The sequence below is a fragment of the Homo sapiens genome, chromosome 1 (genome assembly GCF_000001405.40).
Source record: "Homo sapiens chromosome 1, GRCh38.p14 Primary Assembly".
NCBI classification, from domain to species: domain Eukaryota; kingdom Metazoa; phylum Chordata; class Mammalia; order Primates; family Hominidae; genus Homo; species Homo sapiens.
Genome location: NC_000001.11, coordinates 88,641,017 through 88,655,789, shown reverse-complemented (window position 1 = coordinate 88,655,789; position 14,773 = coordinate 88,641,017). Strand labels below are relative to the sequence as shown.

Here is a 14,773-nt window from a genome sequence, read left to right as displayed (position 1 = left end):
TTAATGGACTTACTATCTTATTGTGCCATTTAAAATAACAAAATTTACACAACATGGAAAGAAAACCACTACTTAATGAATCTAAATAAACGTGAAGACACATCTGTAACCAACTCAAATTTCATATTATGTCTTTCTCAATCAGCCTAGGAATTAGCATCAACATTTATACCTGTAGCTATACCCAACCTAAAATTATATATCACCCTGAAAGTTTAGGCCTGGCCCGAGTTAATAGGAGATAAATGTTAATAGGGAGATCAACCCCTCTGCAGTTAAGATCATGGGTTTTTTGATTCAGGCCTTAATAAGGCCTGAGAAATGTTCTAAGTTGTATAAAAATATCAACCTAGCCAAAAGATATTTAGAAATCAAGATTACATGTTTACCTGAATGTAATACATTGCCGTGGTTAACAATGGGCTCTAAGCCAGGCTACTTGAGTTCAAATTCTGCAAAGTGTTTATTAGCTGTATGACCTTTGTGCCTTGGTTTCTTCATTTATGAAATGAAAATACTATCTCTCTCACAGAGTTATAAAGTTAAATGAGATACTGCCTGGAAAGCACTTGGAATTGCACCTGACACAGAATAAGTACTCCCATAAAAAATTTTTTAGTATCATTATTGACTTCATTTTCTGTATTTGTGATTTTTTTTTTTTGGTGTTTAATTGAACTCTGCCAAGTACTCAGATAGTTTGGCAAGACATTGGGAATCTCCTGCTTCTCTGACTCAGTGAAGTGTTCCCACCCTGGGAGGGACAACAATCCAAATCCCATTCTACCACATTATTTTTTTTACATATTATTATAACTATTTTATTATTTTAGAGATGGAGACTCCCTGTGTTGCCCAGGCTGGACTCAATCAAACTTCTGGGCTCACACAATCTTCCCATCTCAGCCTCCCGAGTAGCTGGGACTACAGGCACCTGCCACCATGCCCGACTTAAACATTATTGATATGGTCAGTCATTCACTTTCCAAATTCAGCTCTCTTTCTCAGAATTTCAGCACTCACTGGAAAGGAGAAATAGTGTGCTTGCTCCTGGGCATGCCCCAATGTCTGTTTATTTCCTCCTCAGCACTTCAAAACCATGATTTGATTTTAGTCTTTTCTGACAGCAAAGCAAAAGTTTGATCAGAAAACATGGAAGGACAGATTCCATTAGTCTACTTGTATACATATTCTAGGAAAACAGCATGCTGGGTTGAGCATGTTAGACTACATTTTTTGGAAGGGTGTCAGCCATGAAAATACCTTTTTTTCCAGGATCTAATTGCAGATTACCTTAAACATATCAGAAAGCTTAAAAACATTGACCGTGGAGCCAGAATTCCCAGTTTTAAAGCTTATCTCTACCAATTTGTTAGTTGAATAACTTTGGGCAAATTATTGACTTCCGTGAGCCAGTTTTTATACATTTGTAAAAGCGAAATAAAAGAAGCTATCTTAAAAGTTGTTCTGCAAAGTATATGAACTAATATGTATAAAGTATTAATAGCTGGAATACTGCTTGGTGTGTAGTAAGTACTGTGTAAGGGTTACTTGTTACAGAGTCATTATCTGTGGATGCTCATTATTCTGTGGAGGATGAAATATTGTATCCAAATTCAACATAGGAAGAGACTTATTCTTTGCCTTTCATCCTTTTGTGGTATCTTTATATACACTTTTTTCTTTCTTTTTCTTTTTTTTTTTTCCAAGATGGAGTCTTGCTCTGTCACCCAGGCTGGAGTGCAATGGTGTGATCTCGGCTCACTACAAGCTCCGCCTCCCGGGTTCAAGTGATTCTCTTGCCTCAGTCTCCTGAGTATCTGGGATTACAGGCACCCACCATCATGCGTGGCTAATTTTTGTGTTTTTGTAGAGATGGAGTTTCACCATGTTGGCCAGGCTGGTTCTTGAACGCCTGACCTCAGGTGATCCACCCGTCTCTGCCTCTCAAAGTGTTGAGATTACAGGCATGAGCCAGTGGGCCCGGCTTATACTCTTTTCTTGACTCTGGTCTTGAATTTTCTTTGCCTCTTCCCAGCCTTTTACTTCCAATTTTTCTTCTTAGATGGTACTGTCCACTTCAGAAACTCTTTTCTCCTATTAATACACTTTTCTCTAACCTTTTCAATTCTTCATGTCAAGGACATGAAGTACGTCTGTTCTATACGTGTTTCCAATGCCTTGCATGGAGCTATAGTAGGTGTTCAATAGACACGCATAAGTGAAGTACACAGAAAAACCAGCTTGCAGCCAGTGGCTCACGCCTGTAATCCCAGCACTTTGAGAGGTCAATGTGGGCAGATCATGAGGTCAGGAGTTCAAGACCAGCCTGGACAAGATGGTGAAACCCTGTCTCTACTAAAAATACAAAAATTAGCCGGGTATGGTGGTGGGCACCTGTAATCCTAGCTACTCAGGAGGCTGAGGCAGAGAATTGCTTGAGCCTGGGAAGCAGAGGCTGCAGTGAGCCGAGATTGCGCCACTGCCTCCAGCCTGGGAGACAGAGTGAGACTTAGTCTCAAAAACAAACAAACAAACAAAAACAAACAAACAACAAAAAATTAAAACCAGCTTGCATTTGCACCTGAAGTTTGTGATTGTCTCTGAAAAGAATGCCTACAATTATAACAATTATTTTTATTTACTTAGCAATCATAAATGCCAGGCACTGTACTACGGATTTCATGTAGCATGATCTCATTTAATGGCATCAGCAATTTTTGGGGGCGGGGGTGGAATCCTGTTAGTTTCTTTTAAAAACGTTTTAATTGACAAATAAAAACTATGTATTTATTATGTACAACATCATTTTGAAATATGTATATTTTGTGAAATGACTAAATCAAGCTAATTAACATATGCATTACATCACACATTTTTTGTGCGTGTGTGGTAGGAACACTTAAAAGCTACCCTCTAAGCAATTTTCAAGAATACAATACCTTGTTATTAACTATAGTCATCATATTGTACAATAGATCTTTTGAACTTATTCCTGCTGTCTAACTGAAATTTTATATCCTTTGACCAACATCTTCCCCCCTACTCCCCACCCCCAGCCTTTGGTAACCACCATTATACTGTCTACTTCTATGAGTTCAACTTTTTTACATTCTACATATGAGATCTTATGCTATTTGTCTCTGATTGCCTGGCTTATTTCACTTAATGTCCTCCAGGTTTATTTATCCATGTTGTGGCAAATGACAGGATTTCCTTCTTTTAAAAGGGTGAATAGGATTACATTGTGTATATGTACCACAGTTTTTTGGTATATTCATCTGTTGATGGACACTTAGACTGATTCTCTTAGTTATTATAAATAATGCTTCAGTGAACATGGGAATACAGATGTTTCTTAGGCTTATTCCCTATCTTAACTATTATAAATAATACTGCAATGAACATGGAAGTGCAGCTATCCCTTCAATATACTGATTTCCTTTCCTTTGGGTACATAACCAGTAGCGGGATTGCTAGATCCCTATTAGTTTCAATTTACAAATCAGGCAGTTGAGTTTCAGAAAATATAAATTACATGCCCAAAGTGTCATTTGCTAATGACCAAAGCATCTTTCTTCTGAAAGAGCCCCCTATTTGTTATTGGAGACTGCCTTCATTTTTTTATTCCTCTTAATATGTTGGATGCAGCTATAGTTTTTTGGTCTACTATCTCTTGCCAGGCAAGCACGTTTGCTGAACTTCCCTAGAGAACTACACATTTGAGAGGTTACGAGTTCAAATACTATGGGAGCCATACAGAGAACATAAGGAGTGAGGTATACCAAGTATTTTTTGTATGAGGGGTACGGACTGTGTCTACATGGGAGCAGTTCTAACTTAACTCCAGCCGAATATAGTCAGCAGAAAAACAGACCAAATGTTGACATACATTCTGATTTTTCAAGAGCAGCCGGATATCTTGAGTTTTATGGGTAACCTCTGAATTCCAAACCTGAAATTTAAGTATTGTCTCAAAGTAAGAATCTTATATAGGCCACATAGAATAGGCCTGTAGGCCATATCTAGCCCTTGGGCACCTATACACTAAAAACAGTGGAGGCCCTGGTTCCTCTAACTCTGAAACTAAGCTCCAGGCCCAATGACAGGGACAAGCATAAGCTGCAAATAGTTGTCATCAGCCTAGGGGATGCATGTGCATATGAGGAGCAGAGGTTTCTCCATCAGCAAATAAGTTGTTGTGCAGTTTTTTTTTTCTTCTTTTTGATGCTGTCTCTTGACTGGGAGCTTGATAATTCCTATTGTTAGCAAACTCAAGCAAGCGCTTGACTTGGAATACCTCCCTGTCTCTTTAGGTTTCCTAAATAAGCACTTTTTATTTTAATTCTCTGTGAAGAAAAACAACTGTGCATAGTAATTCATTCAATGGGGTGAGAGATTGAATATAAATAACTGAATCTCTTAGAAGGTTAAATTTAAAAAGAACCCCACTGAAACAGAGAGAGAGAGAGAGAGAATATAGACCATCATTCTGGTTCTAGCCACCAAGTCTAGCAGATTGGCTTTCTTCTAATCTACATAATCCTCTAGTTGCCTGACTCCAAGCTTCATGAGGGGAGGGGCCTTGTCTTGTCACAGCAGTATCCCCAGGCTCTAGTACGTTGTCTTAACACAATGTAGGGGTTCAATAAATATTTGTTAACTCTCAGCCTTTCAACTTAGATGATATCTTGTCACCCTAAATTTTGTATGTTCAAATCTGAATGTCTCCATATCAGCTCCCTTCTGGACCTCCTGGTTTCTATAAATGGCATTGTTAGTTTCTTATTCATGAAAGCTTGGAAGCTTCGAGTCACCTTGGAAATCCCTTGTTTTCCTCATCCTGTCAGTCGCCAGGTCCTGTTAATCTTCAGTGAGTAATGTCGGTTATATCCTCGCTATCCTTCCCTTCCCTGTCCACGTCACTCTAGCCTAAGCCCCCTGTGACCTCATGCCACAGGGACCAGTGCAATCATTGCTTAACTGCTCTCCTCAGTTTTATGCCTTCCTCTCCCTAATATGTTTATCACAGGAAAACAAATTTTTGAGGACTTGAGCCTTTGGGGTTTCCCATTATTTATTACTGAGTCTAGACTTAGCTTTTCATTGCAGACAAGTCACAATTCATTCACACTTAACACACCAGTCTTAATATCCATTATGCCACCACACAAATCCTCTCTTTTAGTCACACTGGTTCCATGAGTAGTTCCTGAAAACACTGAGCAGAGATTTTCTTTTTCTTTTCTACATTTCATATTTCCTTAGCTTCTTCTGGTTAAATAAATCTTTCCCCAAATTTCTGTTCTATACTAGTTTTTTGGTGAGACAAATGCTTGTCTTTTTTTTTCCCAATATAAATCTCCCTGACATTCTAACACACTAATTAGATCATGAATATAGAATGTATTCCATATACTGTTTTATAGAAAGGCAGTAGAGTATAGTAGTCAAACATAGTCCCTGGAGCCAGGCAGCTGACTTCAAATGATTTCAATCCTACCACACACTATCCCGGTAACTTCAGGCAAGTAACTAAATCTCTCTGTGCCTTAATTATCTCATGATGCCTATTTTGAAAGATTGCTAAGAGATTTAAATGGGTCACTTCATGTATAACAATGCCTAGCACAGGGTAAGTACCATAAAAGTGTCAACTATCATCACCATCTTCACTATTATCATCATGTTATTCTTTTATGTGTATGTCATTTGTCTATAACTGATTTGTAAACCCTTTCAAATCAGAGGTTTCAACATATCCCTCTGCTTTGCACAGAGGAGACTCACAGGAAAGCAGTGTGATGCAAAGCTTTATGGTAGTCAGGACACCTGGCCTGTCAGATTAGGCAGGTCTCTCCACTTCTTTGAGACCCCATTTGCTTATGTGTAAAATAGAAATTTTTTCTTAATGTTTACATTGTATATTCAGTTAAAGTGTTTCACAGACAATAACTCATTGATTATCTGCCTACTTAGCTCACATATGAGGTAATTTATGTAAGCATGCTAGAAATTGAGGCATGCAGATATAACCTGTATTACCAAGGTGCTCAGTAAGTGCTTTTTGATGCATGGGATCAAATGCTCCACTGTCTTTATTTTTTTCCAATGTAAACTCCATTTAAAGTGAATTAGAAGAATTTCTTTTTGATGTTTTTCATCAATAGTGTCCCAATTTTCTCATGAAGCCCCTCCCTCCTTTCATTCCAGGGCATCATTGTTTCTTTTAGAGTGGCAGGTAGTGAATGTGAATAGAGGCAGCTGGTTCTATGGTGTGCTGGTGCCTGGAGAAATTGTACAGACTGAAGACATCTCTTAAAATAATATGTTTTAACTCTTATTCCAAAGGGTTTAGGATTTTTTGCCTACTGTTTATCAGAATGATCACAATCCTTTTTCAGAGTAAAAAGAGATGCTAGATTTAGGGAAAGGGGAATCAAATAATGAGGTATAGAAAACCAAATAATTATCATGGGAGAAAAGAAAATCAGAACTGGAAACTGACATAAGAACAATAACAGTATTAGATTAAAAGTAAATTAAAAGGGGGAGTCATATAAGATGAATATGATTTCCTTTAGTCAAGAAACTGTGGCTTGTTTAGTTTTTGTGAAGCGTAATATTACCAAAACCATAGTAAAAATAATGAGTACAGAGGGGTGTATGATACAGCCAGTTGTGGGAATTTCTAGGCTGGCTTCTGTGCTAATTATTAAGTATCTCAGCTCTCATCCTAAATTCAAACCAAGCATCCATAAACTCTAGCAGGATGAGACATAGGAAGATATTCAAATACCAAAGTAACTATGGAAATGGGAGGAACAAAGAAGAATTCTTGAAAGTCTCTGGGCAAAGATAAAAGGAAAACAGAATAAAGAAGATCTCACAGCAGGGGCCTGTGACAGATCTTCAAATCAGGAAGTCAGAGAAGACGAAGTGAAGCAGAGCCAAATCTCCACATCCACGGAGATGGCCCATAGATTACAAGTACCCTGTTAACTTTCAGGTAACTCACACAGGAGAACAGAAGTGGAAACACATAAAACATAAGTTTAATTCTCTCAGTAAATGATGCAAAAAAAATAGCAAGAACTTTGAAAATCATCTTACATTTAGGAAGATTTTATAGACTGCCTGAATGTCTTAACCTGGAGAATAGCATTTCTGGATTAGCCAAATTCTAAGTGTACATTTTTTTCCAAAATGTTAGGAAACCAAGCTTGCTTTGCCTATAAACTTGGGGGATTCACAGACAGATAGATGAATAGAAAGAGATATATAGAGATGCCAAACAAAAGTTTTTCGAAAGACGATTATAGATTTGTGCCAAACTAAATAAAAGGCAATGGGCCATTGCGTTTGGGTGATGTATAGGTTATCTACTTCAATGCAACAAACGCCTTCAAATGTAAGTGTCTCCACATGGTTTCTTTTTTTTTATTTTTTATTTGCTTGTTCGGAGGTCTCTCAAGGCCTAGGCTTGGAATTCACACAAAGTCATTTTCTTTCATTCAGTCAAACCAAGTCTCTATCAGCTCAGATTCAAGGGGTGGGGAAATTGACTCCTCCTCTTCATGGAAAGAGCTGCAAAGAATTTCTTTTGTGGCTGTTTTAATCTATCGTAGGTGTTTAACTCAATTACAAAATCTGACAAGAGATATGAAATAATTTGACTTAGAATATAGAAATAATTTGACTTAAACTGAAAACTTCTAAATCATTGCAAAGTATTATTATTACATAGCTGACCAATTGTTCCTCCTCTCTTTTTAGTGTCTTCTTGGCATGTGTACTCATGAGGAACTTAAGGACAGGATGCCGCAGGCATGCTGAGCCAATTGGCAGGGTATTAGGCTATGCAACACCTCTACCTTTTTGCTCTTTGCGATTCAGTAGCTCAGGCGTGTGTCTGCTACTAATTCAATGACATATAAAATGTACTGAATTTCTGAAAGATTTTTCTGTGTGCTGTAAATCTTGTGATAGTATTTATCACTAGCTCAAGTACTGATCTCTAGTTCCAAGGAAATTTACATTTCAACTAAGTAAGATAGGTTTTTATCTTCTTTAATTTTGGTACCAGAGGGCCTGAAGAGAAATAACCAAACCAAAAAAAGAAAAAAAAAAAAGGGAAAAAAGTTTAATTACCTTGTTTATTTAGCTCTGTGACATCCTCTCAAAACTCACCAATGACAATGGGCTCAAGGGCTCAGTGATTGTTTGCAGTAGTCATCTCTCGAGGTGGCTCTACAGTGCAGGGTTCCCCTTTTCTGAGGAGCTGCCATCATGCACAGACATGTCCTCTGCTGACCTTTGCCCTGATAGCTGTGTCTACATTAGCGATCTTTATTCCCTGAACCATGACTAATTGATTCAGGTCTGTCACCTGACCTAAGCTGGGCCAATCAGTTTATCTCTTATGTGTACTGGAAGTGTTGCAAGAAGAGAAGGAGTATAATTTGAAAGTTGTTGGTAGCTGAGACACATTGTAATACGCTGGAAAGAAGCCCCACAACCTCCTGCAGAGGAAACACCCTAGTTCCTACCCTTTCTGATCCAAGTTTTCCTTTGATCCTGTAAGCTATTCTAGTATTCTTCCAGTACATTCTCTGTTTTTTTCAAAACTAGTAGAGTTGGTTGTTGTTACTTGTTATCAAGAGAAACTTACCTGACAGAGGATACCCACATCCATAGCTGAATAGTTAGAAGAAAATGGTTTATCTGGGAGCAGTTTCATTCATTCATTCATTCATTCATTCATTCATTTGACAGTCATTTATTGAGAGCCTATTACATATCAGTTACAGAGATAGGCACATGAATAAGATAGAAGGAGGTGTGGGGAGATAGTCACACCTACCTACAATTCCACTAAATTGTGATAAAGTAGAGATACTTGCAAAGTGATGTGGGAGTACAGATAAGGGTACAAATGAACTCTTTGTGTAGGTTGGGGAGCTGGGGTTAATCAGCTTGGACAAGGATGTAAGCTAAGAACTAAAAGCTACACAGAAAATATATATATTCTATATATATTGTATTACAGTGGTAGCAAATGAAGAATTTCTACATAGATACTGAAGACCAGCTGTTCTCAATATCAACTCAGCTCTGCAGAGTGAAAACTGATTTGAACAGCAGCATGAAAGATTTAGATTATAGATGGAAGAATTTCCTGACAGTGAGAGTTGTTAATGTTGGGAGGTTGTAGAATCTTCTCTTCTGGAGGTTTTAAAAATAATAGCTGTTCATCTGCCTAGGATGATGTTATTGTGATGCTGTCTAAAATAGGGAGATGGAAGATAATCACTCAAGGTCTTTTCTAGCTTAGAAATTTTTATAACACTGTCATTTAAAAAAAAGACTTTTAAAAAAAGCAGTTTTAGGTTCAAGCAAAACTGAGAGTAAGATATGGAAATTTCCCATGTACCCTCTGCTCCCTCATGCACAGCCTCACCCGTTATCCATATCTCCCACAGCATGGTACATTTCTTACAACTGACAGACCTGCCTTGACATGTCATTATCACCCCAAGTTCATAGTTTACATTGGGGTTCACTCTTGGTGTTGTACATTCTGTAAGTTTGAACAAATGTGTAATGACATGTATCCACTATTATAGTATCATATAGAATATTTCACTGTCTTAAAAATCCTGTGTTTTGCTTATTCCTCTTTCCCTCCCCCCAACCCTTGGCAACTACTGATATTTTTACTGTCTCCATAGTTTTGCCCTTTCCAGAATGTCACATAGTTGTAATCAAACAGCATATAACTTTTCAGATTTGTTTCTTTCACTTAGTAATATGCATTTAAATTTCCTCCATGTCTTTTCATGACTTAATGTCTCATTTCTTTTTAGCACTGAATATTATTTCATTGTCTGGAGGTACCACAGTTCATTTATCCATTCACCTATTGGAGAACTTCTTGGTTGCTTCCAAGTGTGGGCAATTATGAATAAAGCTGCTATAAATGTCCCTGTGCAGTTTTCTTGCATGGACATAAGCTTACAACTCCTTTGGGACACTGTCGATTTTTAGGAAAACAGTATAAAATTGATAAAAAAATAAAATTAGGGGCAGAAAAGTAATGCCAAAAGTGGAAAAATAATCAAATTAATTATTCCCTCTTAAATCAGGAATGTGAGAAGTGAAGAGATTCAAGTCTTCAAGATTTATTATTTTGGAAATTGTTTTGAAATCACATAGTCCATTGGTTGTTCTAGAACCTCTTGGTTGGGACTCAACTGATGGTCAACTAATAGAGGGTCCTGTCTTTTCCTTCCCACCCCAGAGTCCTTTAGTTTCTCCTAATTCACTTTACAACTATCCCACCCATGATGGGATGACATTGCTACTGCCTCAACCTGTAACTGGAGCCTCCTCATCCTATTCTCCAAAGGTGCACCCAGGTCCGTCCCTTCCTTCCTTCCTTCTTTCCATCCTTCCTTCCTTCCTTCCTTCCTTCCTTCCTTCCTTCCTTCCTTCCTTCCCTCCTTCCTTCTTTCCTTTCCTAAATAGTATAACATGAGCTTAAAATTAAAGCATGTGCTCAGAGAATAATAAGTCTAATTGGACTAAAGATAAGGTATATGAATAAAAAATAAAAATAGAACATGGAGTTAGGTAAAAATGTGTAGATTTGCTAGACCACAAAGTTTAGAGTTCATTGAATAGGCATCGAGAAATTAATGAACATAACATTTGGAAGGTGAGCATGTAAATGGTGTGTAGTAAAAGGCTCTTGAGAATTGTTATCAGACGGTTTAAAAAGTCAAAGTGAGGAATCATTCCAAATGTTACATTAACATTTTATTTTAGATTAACACCTGAAAGTGTACATGCATACGGCACTATTTTGAAGTTGGGTTAAGGCCTTGTTTAATTTTTTTAATGTAGATACAGTTATTGATGTTCTAAGTTGTCTTTTTTGGTTCAACCATAACCATAATGCATTGCCTACAATTTTAGTTTTGGTCTCTTGAAAGCTGAACAAAACTTTAAAGATATTTGTAAAGCCGGCCAGGCGCAGTGGCTCACGCCTGTAATTCCAGGACTTTGGGAGGCTGAGGAAGGTGGATCACTTGAGGCCAGGAGTTCGAGACCAGCCTGGCCAACATAGTGAAACCCCTGTCTCTATTAAAAACACAAAAAATTAGCTGGGCGTAGTGGTGCACACTTGTTATCCTAGCTACTCAGGAGGCTGAGGCATGAGAAAAACTTGAACCAGTGAGGCGGAGGTTGCAGTAAGCCGAGGTTGGGCCACTGCATTCCAGCCTGTGCAGCAGTGAGACTCTGTCTTCCATCTTAATATAATATCTACTGAGATTTTTAATGCTTTTTCCCATTCTTTTATGCTTGTCTCACCTACACTTACTTTGACAGCAATTTTTAAGCCACTGCTTTTATCTAGACTTTACCAAAGCATTTAGCTTAAATTTTATAAACACAACTTTCTTTTCTCACACATACTTCATCAGTTTACAAAATTTTTAACTCAAAAAAGCAATTAGAATAGTGAAAATGTACCTAAAAGTAATTATTGATAAGCATACAACCTAGCCAATGGAAAGAGAATTATGGGGATGTAGTGGAATATAGCCTACTAACCAGGATCAATATGATATAAACTATTCAGTGTACTTGGACTTAAGTCTTATATTTTAGAGAGGAAATGGAGAACACTGGTTAATTTGGCAAGCCAATTAGAAGAGTTTAGAGAAAGGGAAAAAAAGACTGGAATCTAGTTTTGAGAGTTTTTCATCAAAAAATAAAAGTTCCTTTTTTGGTGCCTCTATGTGAGTCTAACATACTACCTTTATTATATTACACTTCCACCCTTCTTTTTGCATTCCATACACATTCAATTTGTAATCTTTTTTTTTCTTAAGATTCTGGAGCATAAAGGGGAGAAGAGGATGACAATATTTCAGTGTCCTAGGTAGTGCTTTCCTCTGGGATGAAAACATTGTTGACAAAGGGAGAAGGTTTTATTATACAGATTGCAGAGGATTAAAAGAGAGATTATTTTGTGTCTTGGATTGGAATCTCAAGAGATTTTATCTTGTAATCCTTTTTTATTTTTTTCTAGATCACACTTGCTAGTGGGAATATGAGGGCTAGAAAGCAATTCAGAGTTTTGTTTATTTGTTTGTTTTTTTGCAATTCAGAGTTTTTGACTTTTCTTACAGAGCTCCTGGGACAACTAGGTCATCAACATCTCCATCAGGTGGATTTTTTTTTCTTTCTTTTTTCTGAGACAGAGTCTTAATCTGTTGTCCAGGCTAGAGCAAAGTGGTATGATCAAGGCTCACTGCAACCTCTGCCTCCTGGGCTCAGGTGATCTTCACACCTCAGCCTCTTGTGTAGCTGGGACTACAGGCACACACCACTACACCTGGATAATTTTTTTTGTAGAGAAGGGGTTTTGTCATGTTGTCTGGGCTGGTCTAGAACCCCTCAACTCAAGCAATCCGCCTACCTTGGCTTCCCAAAGTGTTGGGATTACAGGTGTAAGCCACCGCCCTCGGCCAATCCAGTGGAATTTGAAAGGAAAAAAAAATTGGCTGGGTGTGGTGGCTCATGCCTGTAATCCCAGCACTTTGGGAGGCCGAGGCAGGTGGATTACCTGAGGTCAGGAGTTCAAGACCAGCCTGGCCAACATGGTGAAAACCCATCTCTACTGAAAATACAAAAATTAGCTTGGCGTGATGGTGCATGTCTGTAATCCCAGCTACTGGGGAGGCTGAGGCAGGAGAATCACTTGAGCCTGGGAGGTGGAGGCTGTAGTCAGCCGAGATTGCGCCACTATACTCCAGCCTGGGTAACAGAGCGAGACTCTGTCTCAAAAAAACCAAACCAAACCAAAACAAACACACAAACAACAACAACAACAACAACAACAAAAAAAAAACAAGGGAAACAAATCTCTCTCTAGTTCTCCTGTAGGTACATAAATAAAAAAACATATCCCTTTCCCAACTTTCTCCATGAGTTTAGTTAGGACCCTTGGAAACCCTCAGAAAGTAAGACTTTCCTAGTTCAGTGCTGTACTTGGTACTGATTCATATAGGACTTTGCATCTTGGGAACCAAAACTTCAAGTACTCTGGTAACTGATCCTGTGGAAATAGTATAAGCTTGTTTTTTGAAAAAGAAAGATATAAAATAATGAATTATTTTGCTTTAAGAATAAAATCAGGCTTAACTAAACAGTTTAAAGGACTGGAATGTACCTCATAGTGTAGCAGAAAATTATTCAACCATTTACAATCTCGAGGGACAATGAAGGTATCTTTTGTTGTTATTTTTTCTGATAAAGATAAGTAATATAGTATTGTCCAAAACCTCAAGAGGTGCTATTTATTTCAAGTGGAATGGAGGGTATTGCTTTGATGGATTATACAAAATGAAGAACAGTTGAATAGTCAAATATCCATTCCCATGATCCACATGGGTATGGCAGTCCTAAGCTCTGTGGCCAGAGTAATGATTCCTGGGATGAACTATCACAAGAATTGGGAATACTGGACAAAACCACTTTACATGAAAAAGTGCTGTCTGGTGGTGTTGGTGGTGCTTTCTTTTGACAGTGTGTTTTGGGGATATGCGTTTATATAAGTTCACTATCTAGGTCACTTACCAGTGCTTTGAAACTGATGAATAAACTGGGCTTCTCACTTGTATGGGCCTTTTAGTATGCTCATATGGTCATATTGTATAAATGATATTTGAAAAAGTAAGATAACTGCAATTTGTTAAGATCACTAGGTCATTCTGGTTTGACTTCCATTGATGATTAATTTTATGTGTCAATTTGACTGGGCCATGGGATGCCCAGATATTTTGTCAGACATTATTCTAGATACGTCTATGAGGATGTTTTTGACATTTTTAATTTTTAATTTTAATTTTTGTTTTAGTGATGGGGTCTCACTATGTTTCCCAGATTGGTATCAAACTCCTGGCCTCAAGCAATCCTCCTGCCTTGGCCTCCCAAAGTATTAGTATTGTGATTACAGGTGTGAGCCACTGTGACTGGCCTGGTTTGTGGATGATATTAACATTTGACTTAGTAGCCTGAGTAAAGCAGATTGCTTTTCCTAATGTGAGTGGTCCTCATTTAATCAGTTGAAGTCCTGAATAGAACAAAAAAGTCTGACCTTCCCTCAAGTGCGAGGAAACTTCGGTATATGACTTCTTGGACTGGAACATCTGTCTTTTCCTGCCTTCAGAATCAAACTAAAGAACTGGCTCTTCATGGATCTCAAGCCTACTGGGTTTTGGACTGGAACTACACAGTCAATTTTCCTGGGTCTCCATCTTGTCAACTGCAGATCTTGAGACTTCTCAGGCTCCATAATTGTGTGAACCAAACCAACTCTTCATAACTCCTTTCCAACTTTATTTTTCTTCTTTCTTTCTTTCTTTCTTTCTTTCTTTCTTTCTTTCTTTCTTTCTTTCTTTCTTTCTTTCTTTCTTTCTTTCTCCTTCTCTCTCTCTCTCTGTATATATACATACATATATATGAATATTTGGGGTACTTGTCTCTATGTATTCCTATATATATGTCTGTGTATGTCCTGTTGGTTCTGCTCCTTTTGAGATCCCTAACTAATACAGATTTTGGTATTGAGAGTGTTTTTAGAGAAACAGAATTTTAAAAATGGATTTTGTAAATTAGTTTGATGGTTTCTGGAATTGGCTGTCTAATCTGATTAGATTTAAAGGTGCTAATAACTTTATTTCCAGAAGTAAAGAGAGAACTG

General features: G+C 37.8%; 1 long non-coding RNA gene across 1 annotated transcript in view, besides 1 other annotated feature; it reads left to right on the top strand.

Moving 5' to 3' along the window:
* The window catches only part of PKN2-AS1 (PKN2 antisense RNA 1), a 147,692-nt gene that overhangs the window by 29,415 nt on the left and 103,504 nt on the right, over positions 1-14,773 (top strand). The window lies entirely within an intron of this gene.
* Positions 8,190-8,484: an enhancer, noted in NCBI's record as "tiled region #5313; HepG2 Activating DNase unmatched - State 8:EnhW". NCBI's record gives its function as "activates a minimal TATA promoter and a strong SV40 promoter by Sharpr-MPRA in HepG2 cells {active_cell/tissue: HepG2}" and the evidence as "EXISTENCE:reporter gene assay evidence [ECO:0000049][PMID:27701403]".